Source organism: Homo sapiens, chromosome X (assembly GCF_000001405.40).
Source record: "Homo sapiens chromosome X, GRCh38.p14 Primary Assembly".
NCBI classification, from domain to species: domain Eukaryota; kingdom Metazoa; phylum Chordata; class Mammalia; order Primates; family Hominidae; genus Homo; species Homo sapiens.
In genome coordinates this window covers 7,593,683-7,618,216 of record NC_000023.11, presented here as the reverse complement: position 1 = coordinate 7,618,216, position 24,534 = coordinate 7,593,683, and the positions used below count along the sequence as shown (strand labels likewise).

General features: G+C 41.7%; 1 long non-coding RNA gene across 1 annotated transcript; it reads right to left on the bottom strand.

Annotated features, from left to right (window-relative positions):
* Positions 1 to 2,953: 2,953 nt before the first annotated feature.
* On the bottom strand, positions 2,954 to 24,534 carry LOC124905241 (uncharacterized). The gene is made up of 2 exons (XR_007068386.1): positions 24,423 to 24,534; positions 2,954 to 3,443 (listed from the first exon to the last, which is right to left on the bottom strand). It is a non-coding gene; the product is annotated as an uncharacterized LOC124905241 (long non-coding RNA).

Here is a 24,534-nt window from a genome sequence, read left to right as displayed (position 1 = left end):
GTGGTTTCAGTGGTGTTTCTCTATTGCTTTCATAAAAAGAAACTAGAACTAGCAAACAGAAAACTCTATCAGCTGCATCAGTGCCGAGCCCCTTAATCAGTTTGCAAAGCTAAGGCAGCTCACAGACCTAGAGCCCACTGATAGGAGGGAAAACTAGATTCTGCTGAGGAAAGACCCTACAGCACTATTACAAGAACATAATGGGTAAATATTTCAGTTACTTTTCCTCAATGGTATCCATAGACAATTGCCAGGACATTAGGGAGAATGGAATACCCAGAAATTTTTAGGAGCCTTACATATGAACTTTTGACCCAAATTCTTCTCACAGTAGATTCACTGGTTCTGTAGAGTTTCCCAGGTCATTCTCCAAGTTTGCAAGTGTATAACTGAGATTATCTACTGAAGCGGGCAGAGGCTTCGTGTGAGTTTTCTGACCTAAGAAGTAAGTGTCATTATAATAGGAAAAGCCAAGAAGAATCCCCTAAACTCGTCAAGACAGTGCATCAGTAGCAATCATACATGTAGGAGAAATGGCAAAGGTTAGGGGAAGCATGAAGACATGAAGGACTCAGGAGCTGTAAGTACCATCATATCCTATTCAAATCACTTGTCTAATCTGTGCCAAAGTCAATTGGGACATAGAAAGTAATTGCTGTTCACCATAGACCTAACCAGACAGTAGCCCCAACTGCAGCCACTACTCCAGAAATGGTATGTTGTTTAGTGGAGCAGTTCAAAATCATGTTTGGTGTGTCACTATTTGAGAATTATTCCTTCTGTGTACTCATCATCAGGGATGATCAAAAGCATTTCCCTTTCACATGTTGACTCTTCTACTCTCTCGCTATCTTGCTCTCTCTCTCTCTATTTTTGATCATCTTGACATTCTGCACAGCATCACACTAGTCTATTGTATTTATAACATCACATCATTGAGCAGGAAGTGGCAAGTTCTGTTTATGGTCTACTAAGACAGGCACACCAAAAGGGGAGAGATTAACTCAATGAAGACTTCACGGCCTGCCACACTGGTGGAGTTTGAGGGGTCCAGCAGTCTGGGGCATGCTGGAACATCACTTCTAAGGTAAAGGGCAATTTGTTGTACCATAAACTTCCTCCTACTGACAGACAGGCACAGAGCTTGGGGGGGTATGAGAGAAACAGCAAAGTCCAAGTTGTATCCAAAGCTTGGGTCAAATTAACTTGATGAAGATTTCGTTTACTGAACAGAGGAGCAGGTTGGGTAAAATAGCAAAAATCACTCACTTTAGACATATGAAATTTAAGATTCCTATTCAAGAAGCACTTGAATATGTGGGTGTGTATTCAGGGTGGAAGTCACTGCTAGAGTCATCAGCACTCAGGTACTGGTTAGAATCATGGAACTGAATAAGATCACCTAGAAAAGTGAGCATAGCTAAGAGATTCAAGGACTGAATGCCTTAATATTTAGGGGCATTGAAGTGACACTGCCTGACAGAGCTCTCACAGGTGAGCTGATGGATTCTTGGCTCACATTTACGGAGGGGGCTTAGCCTGAAGTTTGTTTTACATTTATGAAACCACCATCCCAATTCTTTTCTGGGGAGTGAACTCCCCAGATGTGATGGAATCAAGCATTTAATAGACATAATGATTGCTCAACAAGAAGTGCCTCACAAAAGCATTTAGCCAGGTTTCAGTTCACCCAGGAAATGAAGATTTTCTTTAAGCCTTCAACAATTGCATGGCAAAATTTAAACAGCCTGTTAGACGGGCTGCTCACTCAGCTTGAATATTAACACACTTCATTTTCACAAGCCCCGGGTCCTTTTTTGTTTGTTTGTTTTTAGACAGAGGCTTGCTCTGTTGTCCAGGCTGGAGTGCAGTGGCTGGGACCTTGGCTTGCTGCAACCTCTGCCTCCCGGGTTCAAGATTCTCCCACCTCAGCCTCTTGAGTAACTGGGAATACAGGTGCGCACCACCATGCCTGGCTAATTTTTGTATTTTTTTGTAGATACAGGGTTTCACCATGTTGGCCAGGCTGGTCTTGAACTCCTGGACTCAAGCAGTCTGCCTGCCTCTGCCTCCCAAAGTGCTGGGATTACAGGCATGAGCCACTGTGCCCAGCCAGCCCTGGGTGGCTTTGAGGAGATTCTAACTATGACTTATTTAGGATTAGATGACACAAGAAAATTTGAGAATGCTTTGAGCTCCTGAGCTTACGACAAACACATATACATATATAAATTATAGTCATTTATTTTTTCTTATTTAAAAATGATTTTTTATTATATACGATATGAAAAATAGGGAAAGTTATAATGAAAAGAGTAAAACTATCCCAAATCCACTTCCTAGATTTAACTCTTGATAACTTATTGCATGTTCAACTCCAACCAAAATCTAGGTTGTGAATTTGCTCAAAGAAGATTGTAATGCAGGACTCCTATTTGGGGGATAAGAAGAGACTCATGGAGGTGGTTTCAAGCTAAGCAAAAAAGCATAGGCTTTGCAGAGTGTGAAAGAACGTCTGAGAAAACAGCTCAGAATATAAAATCTATAGGTATTTAACATGAATGGAATCTAAATATAAAAATAAATATATATGCATGTGTGTGTGTGTGCGTGTAAGGGTCTGTGCAAAGACCCACCCAAAAATGAGGATTCCATTATTGCCTTTGCACCTAGTACATAGTTGCCGATGTTACCTCTTAATTATCAGTTCCAGGTATCCAAGGATTAAATGAGAAAGAATATTTGGAAGAATAGATACATTTTAATTGGGATCTCTATATATGTGTCTTTTCCAGAGCAAAAGTCATCTCCCTTTTCAAGGAAACCACAGTGTGTGATTTTCCAAGAATGTGAATTCTGTCTCTTGGTTTATGGTCATTGTACTCCAAGCAGAGCGCAATGGGAGTTTTCTTTTTTATTAAAAAAATAAACAAAGAGAGCAATGAGACGTCACTTTTGCCAACTTTTTAATTATATTATGATGGTTTTTCAGGAATAATACCTTTCTGTAATCATACATCATAAGTAAACACAATTAAACCCACACCTGAGGGCCTACAAAATCACAGTGACCTTTACTGAAACAACACAAAATTATTTGAGAAATGTTTATAGGAAAACATTTTCCCCTCACTCTTATGTCTTCTATATATCAATACCTAAATGTTTGTATTACTTTTCATCGCTGCAGTTGGTAACCAGGTGCTGACATTGCCAGGATTGCAATAATCAGGAAAGGGTTTTTTTTTTTCTGCCCTCTGCTGTGGGCCATCTCAGTCTTTCTGAGGAGGCCTCTCTGTCAGTCCCCTGCATGACAGGCCTGCATCAATAACACCTCTCATGACACTCGGTGATTTTCCAAGAGTGTTGAGAGTGAAACCCACAAAGAGGTGCTTCAGATCCCCACATGCTAGGTGTTTGCCATTTGAAGAGCTCTCTCAAATCTGTGTCGAAAAGAACAATATGAGTGCTATTAATGTCTTTGCCCGGAACTCCCATCCCCCACCTTAGTATCAGAATACAGTTGCTGTCCTTGCCAAAACAAAGACACCTGGTTCCATGTGTCAGTGTTTTCTTCTGCTTCTCACTACTGAACAGCTACTTCCAACAATTCCTGAATTTACGTCAAATCCCAGTCCCATAAATCAGACAACAGTCCAATGGAAACATAGATGGTTGAGTGATAACATTGAAAGTATAAGGATCATATGCCTTTTGGTTATTAAACTCCGGCTTATAGGTGTGCAATATTTTAAAATCCAAACTCTTCATTAATTCATTCAACAAATATTTACTGGATACCACTGTGCATTAGACCCTGAGCCACGTGCGGGGAATTCACCACAAAGGGTGACCCTTTTTGTATGTGTTTTTTGTTATTTAAAATTTATTTTTTCTTCCTATATTCAACAACTTTTATTGGATACCTCCTAGTTCTAAAAACTGAATTTTGCAGTGAATTTTTGAATCGCCCAGCAGATTACATAGGAGTCCCTAGGAACAATGACTACCCAGAGATGGTCCCTTATTGCTTCTGCTAAATGGATAAGATCTGTGGTGGTAATACTACTAAAATGGATAACTAATTACAACTGGGATGATCCTAACATCAAAACTAACGTGTAGGAAGCTCTTGATCCCTGCCAGAGGCCATGCTATAGCTTTTTGCATGTTTTTAAAATGTTTAATTTAGAAAAAAATTTAATTGACAAAAACCTGTGTAAGTGTACAGTGTACAATATGATGTTTTGGTATATGTATATATTGTGAAATGGTTAAATCAAGCTAATTAACATATGTAACCTCATGTACTTATCATTGGTTTTGTGGTAAGAAAACTTAAAATTTACTCTTTTAGCAATTTTCAAAGATACAATATGTTGTTTTTAACTATAGTCACCATGTTGTACAATAGATCTCTTGAACTTACTCCTTCTGTCTCATTGAAATTTGTTTCCTTCGTCCAACATCTAAATAACCTGACATTGGTCTTATTAAAACTCCACTCATATAGATGCCAAATCTAAAATTTTAGAGTAACTGGTCCAATATCAGCACATCATTAAAAAGAAAGAAAATACTGAAATGCAGACGCACCCACCCTATAACATGGATGTCCCTCAAACACATTGCACTATGTGAAAAAGCCAGACAAAAAACAACTGCAAATTGCATAAATCCTTTTACATTAAAAGTCCAGAATAGCAAATTTGTAGACACAGAAAGTAGATTAGTGGTTGCCAGGGGCTGGAGGTGGAAGAAGGAATTGATTACACTTAGGCACAAGTGATTTTTTAGGGCAACGCCAATTGAATTGTGGTGGTGGGTGCACAACTCTATAAATTATTAAAAGCCATTAAACATGCGAGTTCTATGGTATATAAATTACACCTCAATACAGCTGTTTTAAAAAAGAAAGAAATGGTCCTTGTCTCGGGAACAATGAGGGACCTTGTCTTTCAGGGTGGTTAATCCACATTTCCACATGGTTTCATGTTTATCATCTCCCTCACCAGGAGACTGCAGGTCTTTTGCATGGCTTCCGGACCCCAGCTTTTCAGCTGAAGTTTAGCTGCCCTTCAGAATACAGGATGAATTGCCTCTGAGCCCCACTCCTATCTGAGCTGTCCATGCCTGAGGTTTCAGCGAAGTACAGGGTGCAAGTTCTGTTCTCTATGCCCTCTCTCCCTGAACAAGTCGGCGAGCCTGAGTCTTGGTATGTAGGAGAAGCAGTATGTATCCAGCCCCTGCTGTGTGCCAAACACAGCCACTTTGCAGAGGTATTTTATTATTCCTCATAAAACCATGGAGAACGCATCTCATCATCCCACTTTTCAGGTGCAGAAAGTAACACGTAGAGAGGGGAGCTATTTAGATCCAAGGTCACACAGATAATAAATGGCAGGGCCAGAATGTGATCCCAGCCATCTCTAGTTCCAAGAGCTCTCATGTTGATTGATTTGGTCTGCTCAGGTAGTGGTTCCTTATCCCCATATGCACTCTGAGTGTGTCATAATTCCATCTTATCGATGGGCATCTTAAAGCTGCCAGAAGGTTGGTGAAACTTGTATTTTGCAACCATAGAGTGCTCAGCTGTGGGACAAAGTTCAATAAATAGCCAGGCACAGTGGCTCATGTCTGTAGTCCCAGCATTTTGGGAGGCCAAAGGGGGAGAATTGCTTGAGGACAGGAGTTTAAGACCAGCATGGGAAACATTGTGAGGTCTCATTTCTGCAAAAATTTTAAAAATCAGCCAGGCATGGTGGTGTGCACCTGTAGTCCCAGCTACCCAGGAGGCTGAAGTGGAAGCATCACTTGAGCCTGGGAGATCAAGGCTCAGTAAGCTATGATCGTGCTACCGCACTTAACCTGGGCAACAGAGTGAGAACTTGTCTCAAAAAAAAAAAAAAAGAAAAAAGAAGAAGAAAAAAGAAAAAGAAATTTCAGTAAATACGTTTGCAATGCCTTCATTGCTTGAACTCTAATTACATTTTAACTAAAGCCACGCAAAAACCTTGAATAAATGTAGTACTAAGTTGTCTGTACCTAACGTATATCTTCAACATTTAGTTGAAGATTGGCCACACCAATGAGGCCAAACACACTTTAATTACTATATATATTTTTTCAAAATTCTACTAAAGTCCTTTTCTAAAAATAACATTTTCATTGCTCAAGGATCACGTAAGACAAGCTGAGAGGATGAACAGCATTCTGGTCTTAATAGAGGACACAAAAAATCCAGATAAAGAAATCGGGACATGTAGGGAGAAAGCGAGGCACACATGTTTGTCAAAGTGTTTAAAAAATGCTGGAGTGTTTTTCATGACAATTCAGAAAAAGACAATGAGAATGGAAGCATATGTATAAGAGGAACTCATAAGATTGTATTTAATTTCAAGAACATCAATATTGAGTAGTGCAGCAAGTAAGTTTCTATTTAAAGAATTATATAAATTGTGTTATTTATATCAGTCCTTCTCAAATGGGGGGATTTTATATGTGGGTACACACACACTTTATGTGATACAGTCAGCAATGTGTGGAGACATTTTTTTCTTTTCACAACTGCGGGAAAAAAGGGCTACCAGCATTAGGCAGGGACCAGGGACTCTTCCAAATATCCTACAATGCACAAGGTAGTTCCCCCCAACAAAGCTATTCAGCCCCAAATGCCGAGAGTGACAAGGTTGAAGAAATCTGGTTTCTACTGAAGCCGTGAAGAACCTCATGTGCTGCTAAAAAAATAACCGGCCTTAGGACTTTTACTTAGTGATGATTTGGATTATATATTTTCTTAGTATCACTTGATATCATTTATTAGAATTCTACAGACTCCCAGGCTGGGCATGGTGGCTCGCACCTGTAATCCCACTTTGGGAGGCCAAGGCAGGTGGATCATCTGTGGTCAGGAGTTCGAGACCAGCCAGTCCAACATGGTGAAACTTCATCTCTACTAAAAATATAAAAATTAGCTGGGCCTTGTGGCGCATGCCTTTAGTCCCAGCTACTTGGGAGGCTGAGGCAGGAGAATCATTTGAACCCGGGAGGGAGAGGTTGCAGTGAGCTAAGATCATGCCACTGCACTCCAGCCTGGACAACAGAGCGAGACTCTGTCTCAAAACAAAACAAAACAAAACAAAACAAACGAACAAACAAACAAACAAAAAAAGAATTCTACAGACTCCCAAGTCATCAAACCGGAGCATCATTTCAACCCTTCTTTGAGGAAAGGACTTTTTTTTTTTTTTTTTTTTGTAGAATAACTGTGCTACCGAAGTACTGTCCAGCAACATCCCGTGGGGAGGTTCATAGCTGGACTTGGAAGACAGCCATTTTCATCTGTTTTTAACATTGCCCATCATTGTGTGTAGTGCAGAATGATATACTGGATCACATAACCACTCAAACCAGCCTTTGCAGAAAAATGTTCCCTAGATGAAATGAACAGATTTTTGAAATCTCTGTTACAAGTATGAGATGTCATCAAGGAGCTTCATTTCAGAGCTACCTTTCGCTGTGAGATAGGAATTCATCTCTCTTTAGGATTTTTGTTTAGAAACTGCTCAGCTATGGATGTTTTGGTTTTCAGGCTAAGTTTCCCAGGCCTGATCATTGAATAAGTAGACTGATTGTGCTTCAAACAGAAGGACCTACAAATAAAGCTGCTCCAAGCTGCTCTATTCATTAATTTTGTGCAGTCACAGCAGCAACAATTATATATTGATTTATTAGAGAAATTTTGGGTTACTATAGCTGCGTTGCGTTCTCACTCATGAGAGTCACTTACGGTTTACCAAACAAAAAGCATTTTTCCAGTTAATAAACTTCTTATTTATCTATTAATCCTCACACAAAAGGACATTCATAAAATCCTTCTGGCTCTCCCTCTCCCTCTCCCTCTCTCCACGGTCTCCCTCTCCCTCTCTCCACGGTCTCCCTCTGATGCCGAGCTGAAGCTGGACGGTACTGCTGCCTGATTCTCCTGCCTCAGCCTGCCGACTGCCTGCGATTGCAGGCGCGTGCCGCCACGCCTGACTGGTTTTCGTATTTTTTTGGTGGAGACGGGGTTTCGCTGTGTTGGCTGGGCTGGTCTCCAGCTCCTAACCGCGAGTGATCCGCCAGCCTCGGCATCCTGAGATGCCGGGATTGCAGACGGAGTCTGGTTCACTCCGTGCTCAATGGTGCCCAGGCTGGAGTGCAGTGGCGTGATCTCGGCTCGCTACAACCTTCACCTCCCAGCAGCCTGCCTTGGCCTCCCAAAGTGCCGAGATTGCAGCCTCTGCCCGGCCGCCACCCCGTCTGGGAAGTGAGGAGCGTCTCTGCCCGGCCGCCCATCGTCTGGGATGTGAGGAGCCCCTCTGCCTGGCTGCCCAGTCTGGAAAGTGAGGAGCGTCTCTGCCCGGCCGCCATCCCATCTAGGAAGTGAGGAGCGCCTCTTCCCGGCCGCCATCCCATCTGGGAAGTGAGGAGCGTCTCTGCCCAGCCGCCCATAGTCTGAGATGTGAGGAGCGTCTCTGCCCAGCCGCCCCGTCTGAGAAGTGAGGAGACCCTCCGCCCGGCAACCGCCCCGTCTGAGAAGTGAGGAGCCCCTCCGCCCGGCAGCCACCCCGTCTGGGAAGTGAGGAGCGTCTCTGCCCGGCAGCCACCTCGTCCGGCAGGGAGGTGGGGGGGTCAGCCCCCCGCCCGGCCAGCCGCCCCGTCCGGGAGGTGAGGGGCGCCTCTGCCCGGCCGCCCCTACTGGGAAGTGAGGAGCCCCTCTGCCCGGCCAGCCGCTCAGTCCAGGAGGGAGGTGGGGGGGTCAGCCCCCTGCCCAGCCAGCCGCCTCGTCCGAGAGGTGAGGGGCGCCTCTGCCCGGCCGCCCCTACTGGGAAGTGAGGAGCCCCTCTGCCCGGCCAGACGCTCAGTCCAGGAGGGAGGTGGGGGGGTCAGCCCCCTGCCCGGCCAGCCGCCCCGTCCAAGAGGTGAGGGGCGCCTCTGCCCGGCCGCCCCTACTGGGAAGTGAGGAGCCCCTCTGCCCGGCCAGCCGCTCAGTCCAGGAGGGAGGTGGGGGGGTCAGCTCCCCGCCCGGCCAGCCGCCCCGTCCGGGAGGGAGGTGGGGGGGTCAGCCCCCCGCCCAGCCAGCCGCCCCGTCCAGGAGGGAGGTGGGGGGGTCAGCCCCCCACCTGGCCAGCCGCCCCGTCCGAGAGGTGAGGGGCGCCTCTGCCCGGCCGCCCCTACTGGGAAGTGAGGAGCCCCTCTGCCCGGCCGGCCGCCCTGTCCGGGAGGGAGGTGGGGGGGTCCGCCCCCTGCCCGGCCAGCCGCCCCGTCCGGGAGATGAGGGGCGCCTCTGCCCGGCCACCCCTACTGGGAAGTGAGGAGCCCCTCTGCCCAGCCAGCCGCCCCATCCAGGAGGGAGGTGGGAGGGTCAGCCCCCCGCCCGGCTAGCTGCCCCGTCCGGGAGGTGAGGGGCGCCTCTGCCCGGCCGCCCCTACTGGGAAGTGAGGAGTCCCTCTGCCCGGCCAGCCGCCCCGTCCAGGAGGGAGGTGGGGGGGTCAGCCCCCCGCCCGGCCAGCCGCTCTGTCCGGGAGGGAGGTGGGGGGGTCAGCCCCCCGCCCGGCCAGCCGCCCCGTCCGGGAGGTGAGGGGCGCCTCTGCCCGGCCGCCCCTACTGGGAAGTGAGGAGCCCCTCTGTCCGGCCGCCACCCCATCTGGGAGGTGTACCCAACAGCTCATTGAGAACTGGCCATGATGACAATGGCGGTTTTGTGGAATAGAAAGGGGGGAAAGGTGGGGAAAAGATTGAGAAATCGGATGGTTGCCGTGTCTGTGTAGAAAGAAGTAGACATGGGAGACTTTTCATTTTGTTCTGTACTAAGAAAAATTCTTCTGCCTTGGGATCCTGTTGATCTGTGACCTTACCCCCAACCCTGTGCTATCTGAAACATGTGCTGTATCCACTCAGGGTTGAATGGATTAAGGGCGGTGCAAGATGTGCTTTGTTAAACAGATGCTTGAAGGCAGCATGCTCCTTAAGAGTCATCACCACTCCCTAATCTCAAGTACCCAGGGACACAAACACTGCGGAAGGCCGCAGGGTCCTCTGCCTAGGAAAACCAGAGACCTTTGTTCACTTGTTTATCTGCTGACCTTCCCTCCACTATTGTCCTGTGACCCTGCCAAATCCCCCTCTGCGAGAAACACCCAAGAATGATCAATTAAAAAAAAAATTAAAAAAAAAAATAAAAAAAAAATTAAAATTAAAACATCAGCTTCGAAAAAAAAAAAAAATCCTTCTGAAGGCTTGCTTTGGAATTTTGAATGAAAGGCATCCACTGTAGGGAACCACATTTTATTCCTACAGCTCAGGTTTTTTATGATTCTGTGCAATCCTGGGTGCGTTCTGCCTTCGGCCAAGGATGGAATGTGGTCCACATCCTCCATTCAAAGGCAATACTTTAGCTTCATGCAGCGCTAAAACTCACCACATTGGTGAGACAAGCAAGACTTGAAGGTTGCCATAACTCTTGATTTTGAGGTTTGGAAATCTTGTACCCAAAACTACTCTCTCTTTATTTATGTTTTTCTTTTTTGAGACAGGGTCTCCCTCTGTTGCCGACACTGGAGTGGAGTGGCACACTCTCGGCGCACTGCAACCTCTGCCTCCCAGGTTCAAGTGATTCTCCTACCTCAGTCTCCAGAGCAGCTGGGATTACAGGCATGCGCCACTGTGCCTGGCTAATTTTTGTGTTTTTAGTAGAAACGGGGTTTCACCATGTTGGCCAGGCTGGTCTCCAACTTCTGACCTCAGGTGATCTGCCTGCCTCGGCCTCCCAAAGTGCCAGGATTACAGGCGTGAGCCCCAGTGCCTGGCCAAATCTCTCTTAAGAAGGGATATGAATGCTAACGGGGGTCTTTAATGGAGGATGCAACAAGTGTGTTTGAGTTCTGTCATTGACTTTACAAAGTAGTGTATTAGTCAAGGTTCTCTAGAGGGACAGAACTAATAGGATATATTAGTTAATATATATATAAAATATATAATATATAAACTCATGTATATATATATGAGTTTATTAAGTATTAACTTACACAATCACAAGGTCCCATAATAGGCTGTCTGTAAGCTGAGGAGCAAGGAAAGCCAGCCCGAGTCCCAAAACTAAAGAACTTGGAGTCCAGTGTTCGAGGGCAGAAGCATCCAGCATGGGAGAAAGATGCAGGCTGGGAGGCTAGGCCAGTCTCTCCTTTCACATTTTTCTGCTTGCTTTGTATTTGCTGGCAGCTGATTAGATTGTGCCCACCAGATTGAGGGTGGATCTGCCTTCCCCAGCCCACTGACTCAAATGTTAATCTCTTTTGGCAACACCCTCACAGACACACCCAGGATCAATAGTTTGTATCCTTCCATCCAATCAAGTTGATACTCAGTATTAACTATTAACCATCACAATTAGGGTGGAGTATCTGAGCATAAGGATGGAGAAGTCTCATCTATTAGACGTACCTAGCTGTGGTTAAAAAGAGGATCACTTCCTCCAACTCATGGGAATTAAATTAGGGTGTGAAGGGTGTTTGTCAGAGGAGATTAGAATGCTATTGCCTCTTGTCTTTCTCCTTATTCTCTCTTCTCCCTCCATCCTTTCTCCCCATCCTCCACCCTGTCTCTTCCTCCTCCTTTCTCCCATGCAATGCGAATATCCAGGAAGAATTGGAAACCGCTGCTCATAAAGCAGCGGTTCATGAGTTAAGTTGTCTTTGTGTTGGGAGAGCACCTGCATGTGAACACAACACCACGTTGTTTGCAACCACAGAATGACGCTTCAACTCCTTTCTTCTTTCCCACTTCCCGTGAATGTTTGTATAATATTTAACCATTAATTATGTAATGTTTGTCAAGTGTTTGAAGCTCCTAGGGAAAAGGCAGTAAATTAACAGCATTATTATTAGCATTTTCCCCATTAAATTTCCATTACAAAACACATCAAGAAATGAGAAGCAGCCATCTGTCACGCAGCTTAAATGCTTACAATCTACAGGACTGTGTTTACCTCAGAGTGGTGGTACTTTGTAAGCCATATATGAAAATAATTTGCAAAAATGAGTTGAACAGCTGCTGTGTCTTGTACTAAATTTAACACCTTGCTGGCAGTTATTATTTTTAACAACATGAAAAGCAAATCACAGTTTGCATTGCTCAGTTCTAATAATGACCATGTAAGCATGCATTGTGTTATACCACAAATAATTTCATTGGGAATGAACAAAGGCAGAGACTCATGTTTGGCTTTTTGATGGATCTCAGGGTCTCTGTCAAGGTCAGTTTTTGCCCAAGCCACAGCACAGCCTGGAGAATGACCAGAGAGGTTGTTTTCAAGTAGGGTTCAGTGAGCAGGGGCATCGTGGCCCTGCCTAATCTTCACCTGTGCTTTTCATCAACACTGAGATTACCCCACTTTTGATCCCTGCTAATCTAATAGGTGTAAAAAGCATCTTAGCTTTTAAAAATTTCTTCAGTGTTCCGTAGAATTGAATATTTTCTATGCATATTTGTGTTAAAGAAAATAATATTCAATGATACTTGTTAAAGCATGGTAAGGAAGACTTTAATCAGGACCTTTGAGTTAGGTGTAGGGCCCATAGCCATGGAAACCAGCGGTTTCCGATTCTTCCTGGAAATTTGCATTGCGTGGGGGAAAGGAGGAGGAAGAGGAAGAAGAGATGGGGTGGAGGTCTGGGAGAAAGGATGGAGGGAGAAGAGAGAAGAAGGAGGAGAAAGACAGTATGGGGTCTTGCAGTGAGGGAGAGAGATTGGGCTCAACTCTGAATATAGCATGGGCAAGTGGGAATTTATAGCCAAGGAGCAGAGGGAGGGTCAGTAGAAATTTGGACATTGGATGGAAAATGACTAGAAGGAAACATCAGGGGTAAAGGAGGTTCTGGATAAACCCATCTAACAGGATTCTAGCTGAAGACAGGCCAGAGTCACCAGATATCACCTGGGGAGGGTGGAGGATGAGGAACTCACTCAGGTATTGAGGGTGATAGGATATCGAGTGTGGGGAGTTCCTGCCAAACTGACTTAGCAGGGTTCTCTGCTAAAACTGGATTTTACAGGGAGGTACACAGGTGGGCCTAGGAGAAGATTCAGAAGCCTGACTACAGTTTGGCCAGACAGAGAATCTTTGTCATTCGCCATTGGTACTTTATTTTCTTTAAACTTCTTGTTCATACTCTTGTCCATATTTGACTTGAGTTGTGATCTTTTTCTTTTTTATTTCTAAGAGACCTTATTTTAGAAAGAAAAGCAACTTAACTAGACATACTGTTCTAAGTACTATTTTTCCCTCCAAATTTTCATTTCACTTTTAGATTGCTTATGCAATGGTGAGTGTGTGTGTGTGTGTGTGTGTGTGTGTGTGTGTGTGTGAGAGAGAGAGAGAGAGAGACAGACTTCACTATTTGGAAGACATCAACTTATAATACATTTTCTTTTTGACTTCTGGGCTTAACAGTGATAAGAAAAGCTGTTTCCAAGCCCCTCTTACCCCCTCAAAAAGCTATCAAATGATTTCTTTTTTTTTTTCCTCCAGACTGAGTCTCGCTTTGTCACCCAGGCTGGAGTCCAGTGGCACGATTTCAGCTCACTGCAACCTCCACCTCCTGGGTTCAAGTGATTCTCATGCCTCAGCCTCCCAAATAGCTGGGATTACAGGTGCCTGCCACCACGCCCAGCTAATTTTTTTGTATATTTAGTACAGACGGAGTTTCACTGTGTTGGTCAGGCTGGTCTTGAACTCCTGACCTCGTGATCCGCCCGCCTCGGCCTCCCAAAGTGCTGGGATTACAAGCATAAGCCACCGCACCTGGGCTATATTTTCATTTTTTAAGTAGATGTTTACATTACATATAATTTATTTTGGTGCAAATTGTAAGAAAGGAATACCAGTTGTGTTATTTTTCCAAATGGTTTTTTAGTTGCCCCAACATCTGTATTTTTTTAATTATTCATGTTTCTAAAATATAACACTAACATTGACTAAATTCCCATGTCTATCTGGTCATTTTTGCTGACATTCTGCTCGCTATATTGATCTGTCACTCAGGCCAATAGCAAACCATTTAGATGTGGTTTTTCAAATGCACGTTACTGAGGATTAAAAGCATCCTCAGTAGTTGCATTTTCTTTCTTGAATGACTTGGGATGGAAGCTACTATTTGCAAACCCTGAAATATGTCTTTACACATAGGAGAAATTAAGTGCCAATGCATTGACCAGAAACCCCATCAATATTTTCACAAAGCAAAGCCATTCTTGTCACTGAAAAATTTTTGTAGCAAAGCAAATCCATTCTTGTCACTGAAAAATTTTTGTAGCAAAGCAAAGCCATTTTTGTCACTGAAAAGTTTTTGTAGCATTGAAACTACACAACTCCTAGAGGTGAATGACCTAGAGTTTATCAGATATGTTACAAAATATCTTTAGGGTGCCTTATTTAAAAGTACAATTGATAGTTTTCTATTAGGATCTTTGAACTTTGTGTGTAAATGTGCAGACCTGAAGGCCACGGTGACTTTCCTCTTAGATACAGTAGTAGATACAGAGTATTTGGTCTTGACTCCAAACACAGATGTATGAAAAACCATGTGTCAGGACTTCCTTTAGCTGTTACCATATCCTTTGGCTATGAGTCACACAAAGCTCTGCTAGGGTAACTTAAATAGACAAGGGGTTTGTGATGGTTAGTTTTAGATGTCAACTTGAGTGGATTGAGAGATACTCAGATAGCTCTTCAAGCATGATTTCAGGGTGTGCCTGTCAGGGAGTTTTTGGAAGAGACCGGCATTTGAATCAGTGGACTGAGTAAGGATCCACCATCATCCAGTATGGGTGGGCACCATTCAATCATCTGTAGGCCCGGATAGAAGAAAAAACAGAGAAAGGCAAATGAATTTGCATAATCTTTCTCTTGTGGAGCTGGGAGACACTTCTCCTGTTCTTGGACATCATCACCCCAGCTTCTTCACCCTTTGGACTCCAGGACTTGAACCAACAATGCCCCTCTCACTCTGCTTATTGTCTGCGGGATCTCAGGCCTCTAGCGCTGAACTGATAATTACACCATCAGCTTCCCTGGTTCTGAGGGAAGTCCCTTGGACTGAGCCATGCTATTAGCTTCCCTGGTTCTCCAGCTTGTAGATAGCCTGTGGTGGGACTTCTCAGCCTCCTAATTGTCTGAGCCAACTCCTCCAATAAATCCCCGTTTCTCTATCTCTCTATCCATCTCTCCATATCTCTCTCTACTTGTCTATCTATCACCTATCTATTCATGTATTCTATCTATCTGTCTGTCTGTCTGTCTGTCTATCTATCTATCTATCTATCTATCTATCTATCTATCTATCTATTCATCCAGCTAGCTATCAGATCTGTTTATCCAGCCACTTAGCTATCCATCTATCATATCTATCTCTCTATTCATCAATCACATTTAACTATCTATCCAGCTAGCTATCAGATCTATCTATTCAGCTACCTAGCTATTCATCTATCACATATACTTCTTCATCCATCCATCATATCTATCTATATATCTATATCTATTCATCTATCTCTATATCCATCTATCTCTCTACCTACCTACCTACCTACTTACCTACTTACCTTCTACTCATTCATTTATTCTATCTATCTATCTATCTATCTATCTATCTATCTATCTATCTATCAATCATCTATCCATCCTATTGGTTCTCTTTCTCTAGGGAAACCTGATGAATACAAGGTTGATTCATCTCTGGAAACTATAGGGATTGGTGTGTTTATGGTTATTCAAGAAATGTACCTATGACATTGACTTCTTCTGTCTTTACTCACAAGTGGTTTTATCTGCATGGTCATCGAATGTCTGCTGAGCCTATAGATATCGTGCTAAATTTCTAAGCAGAAATAAAAGGGAAAAGAAAAACGGACAACAATAAATGATACATATGTTTCATTGGCCACTCTCACAGCACATGGACACTCATCGCTGCAGAAAAGGTAGATGAATCTAGTTATTTTCATAGCCTTTGGAAAGAGGCAAATTAAGAGGAAAGGAACTAGACATGGTGATAGAGTTAGCTAAGCTATAGTGTCATACTGTAAAAAAAAGGAGTCTTTCATCTTCACGTCAGTGGGAGCTCTAAATTAATTAAACTAAACCCATGCCTAAATATATCTTGAGAAAATGCTTAAATTCAAAGCCATGAAAAAAATATTGTTGGAAATGGGTGCTTGGTGTCACGAAATCACCACTGAGACAAAGGATCTCTCAGCAAGGCTAGCTTATTTTCTGCAGAAAGGGTGCCCTCTTGCTAGCAGTCTTGCCATGAGAGCACACCCAAACAAAGGAGACAGGGACATTTATAATCTTTGTAACCTGATGCAATCGTCCTATGGCTGTGTCCCATTTCCATTGGCTGGAACAGGACCTCACCTTCTAAGCTTGACACGATTGGCTAACAGCTTGAAACTGTTCTAAAGAGGCAAAGGGGAAAGAGAACAAAGAAAAGAGGAAGCTAGTCATGAGAGGGTTAGGAGGGTTTCCAAATAAGGAATGTCATGCACTATGGTTCGGGGCTCGCTTAAGCCTGTCCAGGCATGCCAGGTCAAGTCAGAAGAGCTCCACTGGAACATATATAGACATGCATAGAGCAAAGAAATGCCAAGCTCTTTATGGTTTTAAGAAACTTTGAAGAAGAACTTCTCCATTCCTCACAAATATGAAGACTTCAATCCTCCATATCTTTAAGAAATAAGATATTTTTGATATTTTGATATTTTTGATATTTTCTTTGAGAAAATATCAAGTTAGGTCCATAATTCTCCTCCAAAGTATAAGCTGTGAAAAGGACATGAGGATTTGGGGACCTAGCATTGTAACTCACAAATTCTACAACCAAACAAGGAAAATATTCTGTCATGCAAGAATTTTAAATGGATGCTGATCTTTAAAATACTCAAGTACTCCAATAAGCTAATAGATGAATCAAATTAATATCCCCATGAAGAGAAGTTATACGTATAAACAAAAGGTCAGTGAGCAACGGAACAGTGAAACTCTTGGCTAATGTCTGAACACTGGATGATATCATGGTGACTAAGCATAAGACAAGAGCCAAAACTAAATCTTAGAAGAGAAAAAAACGATGTAGCATTTATACATTAAAACATAATGAAATATGTTATATATAACATATATAATACATTGTAACTAACATGGTTACACTAGTCTTGATCTAAAAACTCAATTCATTTTAATACAAATCTATGCAAAGTGAAGTTAAATGCTACTGAAGATTGTGCTAAATCTCTCATTACTAAGGGGCAGAGGGCAGTTGATGCTAGTATAGAGCTAAGTATCCAAATATATTTTGTTTGATATAATTTCTAAATAACCAGAGGAGGGAAAAAGCCAATAATATTTGAGCCATCAAGTAAAACAGAGGACATAAGTAAGAAAATAAGAAAAAACAAAAATACAGATTTGAGAAAAAAAAATGGCAAAGCATCAAATATCATCCACTGATGGAATTATATATACTTAGACTGCTAACTTGGTAGTTGTACTTTAGACTTTAGACATGTGGTTCCTTAAACATTTTTCCCAAAGCAACTTGCCTTGTTCCTTTAAAAAGTTAACAGGTTCTCACTGATAACAACAGGTCAATATAACTGCTAGTTTCAAATCAGGGATTATGTCCCACTTCATCTCAGCATCAAGTGTGTGAGTCAACAGTCTCAAAACAATAACACACAGGTAATTCTGATCTATCTCTAACTTACGGAGGTTGGAAAACACTTGAGAATCACTCATTAGAGGCTTCAGTATTGGTACTCTTTTTTGGCAAGAAATAAACCAGGTGGCGGTAATATTCCACCATGAATCATGGCTCAGGAGATAAATAGATAAATTAGATATGCCTTACCAGAAACAATAAAACCCTTCTTAACCAAGGTGGAAAATCCTTATTTAGCATCTACTGGGGACACCCCCCATTAATTATGTGGGTTTTTCATAAAAAGTTTAAAGTCTGCTAAAGAGAAATTCCATTGTTGATACTAGGTAGCACATGGTATCAGTAACTGTCAAATTCAGAGGAAGCTATGTGACTTGGGCTGAGATAATTAAGAAAGGCAGGTGGAAAATGTAGTATTTAACTTAATCTTAAATTATGAGCTGCTTTTGATATCTATAACTGTGTAAAAAGGAGATGTATAATCATGTGAATTGGTCTTTTTTTTTTTTTTTTTTTGGTTTTTGGAGTTTTTGTTGTTTTGGGACAAGGTCTCGCTCTGTCACCCAGGCTGGAGTGCAGAGGCATGATCTCAGCTCACTGCAGCCCCAACTTCCTGGTCTCAAGTGATCCTCCCATCTCAGCCTCCTGAGTAGCTGGGATTACAGGTGTGAGCTGCCATGTCAGGCCTCGTGTGAATTGTTTTAAGTAAAAATACAAAGAACAAAGCCAAGTGCAGTGGCTCATGACTATAATCCCAGCACTTTGGGAGGCTAAGGCAGGAGGTTCACTTGAGGCCAGGAGTTTGAGACCAGCCTGGGAAACACAGCAAAACCCCATCTCTACAAAAAATTTAAAAATTAGCTGAGCCCGATAGTGCACACCTGTAATCCCAGCTGCTTGGGAGTCTGAGGGGCAGATTGCTTGAGTCCAGGAGTTTGGGGTTATAGTGAGCTCTGATCACATCGCTGCACTCCATCCTGGGCAACAGAGTGAGACCTTGTCTTTGAAAAAAAATAGAAAGAGGAAGGCATAATCAGGTTGGCTGAAATACAGAATGAACATAAGAAACAGGCAATAGATAAAGCTGTTCAAAAACGTGCTTGCCCTGCCTGAGGGTTAAGGATTATTGATTCAGGAAGAGCTGCCCAATGAGTGTGGCACAAATAACTTATATGTGATTTTCACAACTGAAATAAATTAAGGCTACTTTTCTTCAGACAGCTTACCTTTGGGATTCCAGCTCTATCTTTGCTCCAAAGATGTGAGCTAGACAAGGTTATTTAACTTCTAACCCTTAGTTTCATCTCTGTGAAATATGGATCATAATATTTCCTAGGTCATGGGGATTTTTATGATTTTGAATTAATTCAGGCAAAGCACTTAGCATCTCCCTGGTCATATATTCATGTTTCTTTAACTATTGCCATTTGTACTTGTTCAGAAGAAAAATATTGAAGAGCTAGTGGTGTCTCAAGGTGAAACTATTCAACCAGAGTTGGAAATTAGAAACTAGAAACTAAGTCAATGTACAGTGGGATGTATCTGCATGGAAATGACACCTGAAATCAAAGGAAGGAGGTACAAGGATATACAAATAGTGATTTCACAACAAGGATTTATGTTTCTGTTACTAAAACATTCAGGGAAAGATTAATTTGTCATAAGATTTAAAGATACATAAACCTGGAACTAAAGCAGAGGTTTCTATGAATTCTCCCAAGTATTGGCTTAGTTTATAACTTTGGCCATATGAAAGTCTTTCCCTCTCCTCCCTGCAGTCAGGAGAATATTCAGCCTGCTCTTCTTGGCTCAGCTTTTTGATTAGTCCTCACAAAGCTTTGTATTTCAAGTTGTGACACATTTAACTTTCTGACCTTCCTCTCCATCTACTTAAAAAAATCTGGTCATGCCCAGGTGTGGAGGCTCACACCTGTAACCTCAGCACTTTGGGAGACCAAGGCAAGAAAATTGCTTGAGGCCAGGAGTTTGAGACCAGCCTGGGCAATAAAGCGAGACCCTGTCACTAAAAAAATTTTTTTTTAAATGAGCTGGGTGTCTTGGCGGTGGTTGTAGTCTCAGCTACTCGGGACGCTGAGGTGAGAGGATAGCTTGAGTCCAGGAGGTCGAGGCTGCAGTGAGCTACGATCGCACCACTGCACGCCATCTGAGGTGACAGAGCAAGACTCTGTCTCAAAACAAGCAAAAAAATAAACAATAGAGTCTTTCTCTGATGTTTGGCATAAGCAAGATGTGGCATTTACCTCCACACCCAACTGTATTTCCTTAGGCACTAAACTTTGGCTTGTTCCGGTATTGCCTTGGTTTCCCCTAGACCTTCCAAAATTGAAGCTTTGGTCTGCATTGAAATATGGGACCCATGCTGAAAAGACTAAAGCCAAAATGTACAATGTAGATATTAGGAAGATGGCTACTTCTTCACCAAATCGATTGCCTCTTTTTCACTGGCACTTGGCCAAACAGTACTTCACAGCCTATCTTTCAGTTAGGTGCAGTTCCTGGACATATTCTAGACAATAGTTAATGAACAGAAGTGATGTGTGCCACTTCCAAGACTGGCTCACAAATTTCTCCAATGAATTTCCTCTGTGTTTCTCTCACTTTCTGTGGCCTGGGATAGAAATAAACCCTACCACTTCCCCACAGGGAAACCTTGGACACCATGCATTGAAGATGAGTCCTGAAAAGATGGCTTGGAAACAATGATCAGAGTGAAGAGACAAACCACAGATGACTGTGAGAAAATACTGGCAAACCATACATCTGATAAGGGGCCAATTCCAAAATGTATAAGGAACTCAATTCAATAGCAGTAAAACAAACAACACAAGTAAAAACTGGAAAAAAGGACCAGAACAGACATTTCTACAAAGAAGACATATGAATGGCCAGCAGATTTATGAAAAAATGCTCAACATCTCTAATCACCAGGGAAATGCAAATTAAAACCACAATGAGACATCACCTCACACCTATTAGAATGGCTATTATCAAAAAGATGAAAGATAAGTGTTGGCAATGATGTGGAGAAAAGGGAACCGTTATACATAGTTGGTAAGAATGTGAATTAGTACAGCATTTTGGAAAACAGTATAAAGAGTCTTCAAAAAATTAAAAACACAATTACCATATGATCCAGCAATCCAATTTTTGGGTATCTATCCCTTAGCGGATGAATAGATGCAGAAAATATGGCTTATATATACACAATGGAACACTAGATAAACTTTTAAATAAAAGGGAAATTCTGTCATTTCGAACAACATGGATGAACCTGGAGGACATTATGCTCTGTGAAATAAGCCAGGCACAGAAAGACAAATACTGCATGTTCTCACTTACATGTGGAATCTAAAAATATTGAACTCACTGAAGCAGAGAGTAGAATGGTGGTTACCAGGGGCTGGTTGTGGGGAAACAGTGAGATGTTGGTCAAAAGGTACAAACTTTCAGTTCGAAGAAAGTTTCACTGATCTAGTGCACAGCATGGAGAACATAGTTAATAATGCATGGTGTATTTCAAAATTGCTAAAAGAGTAGCTGATTGATATGTTAATTGGCTTGATTTGTTCTTTCTCCAATGTATAAATATATCAGAACATCACCTTGTACCCCATAAATATATACTGTTATTGGTTGTCAATTTTTTTAAAAAAAGATTGCTTGGAGCAGAGAACCCCTTCCATCCAATCCTGATAACTAGGTACCACATCTTAGATTGTTAGCAAGAAGACAACTTCTATTAAGCCAGAACATTATTCATTTTTATTTTATTCGTTACAGCAGTTTGGCATCCTCAAACTAACTTGGCAATTCTAACTATCTTGACCCAACAGGAGAATTCCAGAAAATGCTGGCCACCTGGGAGGGCCATCCACATTAGCAAGGGCTCCTCTTCTGCAGGATATATTGGATATAACACCAGCTGACTCCAAGAAGACACAGGTGGAGTGTCAAATCTATTTCTTATGTAGGCATAGTCTACATTTGTATAAGGCTTCAAATCCTTTTATCTCTCACAGTAAATTCGTATTAGGAAATTTTGATTTAAGAGGTCATTCTTTCACCTTTTAAGTATGTACACATATTGGGATTAGTAAAACGCTGGTAAAATATTAAATATTCTGAGAATGGTCCCCACAAAGTTTACGGAAAATGAATATATATCCATATATATTCATATATGTGTGTGTATATATACACATATATACATACGTGAATACATATTCACTTGTATATGCATATATACATGTATACAAATGAATATATATTATAAATATACAGATATCTTATAAATATACCTATAGTCAATGTGTATATATACTATATATGTATATATAAACAAATTATATATACTTACGATTATACACATATTCACTTATATATGTATATATACACTGTATGTTATGTACAATATATACATACACAACATATGTATATATTAGGTATATACATATATACTATATACATTATGATATATAATGTATATATGTATACATATACATAAAAGAATATATGTATATTTGTAAGTGTATATATATTTGAAATATATATATTTAAAATTGCAGTAAGGATATTGCCCACTGTCCAGGTCTCTGCATTTCAATAAAATAAAAACACAGCAGAAAAAGGCTCAAAGAAGAAGAACAGGATGATTAAAAGTCCAGAGCCGTTGCTGTATGCAGACAGCCTTAGAGGCTTAGTATGATTCCATCTGCAAACACTGAAGCTGACAGGGGATATGACTGAAGTCTATAAAACTCATAAAAGGTAGGGCTGTGATGAACACAAACATGTTCACTAAATCTCAGTTTGCCAGGACAACAGTCTTTCCCTTATATCTTGAAAGAGGGAAATTTAGAACAAACAGAGAAAGGATAAGTTAACAAAACAGAGCAAGTAGCAATGGCCACATTGGCAGAAATCATAACCTTGAAAACTAGAGGCAGACTGCAAATATAAATAACTTCAACTAAGTACTAGAAAAATCCATGCATGACAGTTCCATTAAGGGAGCTAAAATGATGCCTAAAAATTTAAAGAGGCTAAAAGTGATTGACCAAAAATGAATGACTTAGAATTAGGCATCTTTCTAGATTTAGAGTCTTCATAACAACAGCATTGCACACACATCCTCACCAGCTGTGCACCTTTGGAAATTGCCCCTGCATTGCTTCCTCTGGTTTGCTGCAAAATATTGTTTCTGGTAAATTTATCTCATGTCAGCCAAAGTGCTGTTTTTATGGAATTGCCCATGGAGAGAAGCCCATCACAGATTCTGAGCGACATGGAGAAGCCCTGGTACACCACTAAATTTAGACAGAATTGAGCCATACACTAAAACTCTTAAATGACTTCACTTTTCAAATCTCCAGGCATGAAATAGACCCACTAGTGTAAGATGTAGCATGGACATTTTCGGAGGAAATAGGAGATATTCTACTCTTCCAACAGCAGGCATATGAATCACAACGAAGTCATTGATTAAATCCCTGGATGCTTGCAGATTAAATTTAGTTACTTTTTTAAACCTTGCCTTCTGGATGATTGCACTCTAAAGCAAGTAGCATGGCTTCTGGTTACTGCCAGCCCAAGACTTTTTGCTTTTCTAGGAACTGTTTCAATTGGAAAAGGGCACTTAGTCTTTGGAAACAATCCCATTTCGAAATAGCAATGATCATACTCAACTGATTAAAAATTAGTATGTACTGTGCTTGAATGCTACACCACACAATTTCTCAAAAAAAAGGCTGAACTTCTAGGATTCTTCTCTTCAGTATTCCTTACCACACAAAATATGTGTTTTGTGTTAATTCCTAAATTATAGATCATGACTAATCTCTGTCTACTCAATAAATAGATGTTTGTTAAATATTTACTGGTTCTCTTTGGACTTACAAGGAAAAACACTTTTTGCAGTTATTTTTTCTTAAGACAGTGGATAAACACTGCCCAGCTGGAAATGTACTGCCTGGAAGTAGCTTCTGATGCATGTCTGCATGTCTGCATGGTACTCAATTTCAGGGCACCAATATCTTTACTGGGTATGGTGCTCTACCAGGTTATTGTTACCTTTTTCCTTCTGTAGGCACTTTCTAATAAAAGCATGAAATTAAGTACTCCTTGTGATTTACCAGTTAAAAACTTGCAAATCCCTGCTGGCCAAACATGTTATAGTCTTAATTGTGGAGGTATAAATAGACATCCTCCTAGTAAAATGTTCTATAATCAACCAAAGGGAAACCCTTTATAACCATTGTCATATCAACCTTATAACTAACCCTAAATCCCCTACCTGGACTGACAGTCTAACTGGGACCACAAGGAACAGAATAATATAGTTCCCAAAGAATTGTCCAAAGTAGGAGGAAAGATTTTAAGTAAGCCATGCACAAAAACTCTGCTACATAAAGTTCATAGTCTTGTGGTTTGCAAGATTGAGGCAACAGTCATTTTGTCCCATAAATACAATATTATTAAGGGCTGGAAAATTATGGAGGAATCAATAGTATAGAGGTCATTTTTTTCCAACAGCTAAAAAGAAGTGTGTGTGTGTGTGTGTGTGCGTGTGTGTGTTTTAGGTAAGTAGAATCCAGCTAGAAAGTGTAATTCAAAATACAGGAAGCTCCATCACAAGACACTCACCATTTGTTGTATCTTCATGTCCTCTTGAAAATCAGCCACTCTGAGGAGCCAAGATGGCCGAACAGGAACAGCTCCGGTCTACAGCTCCCAGCGTGAGCGACGCAGAAGACGG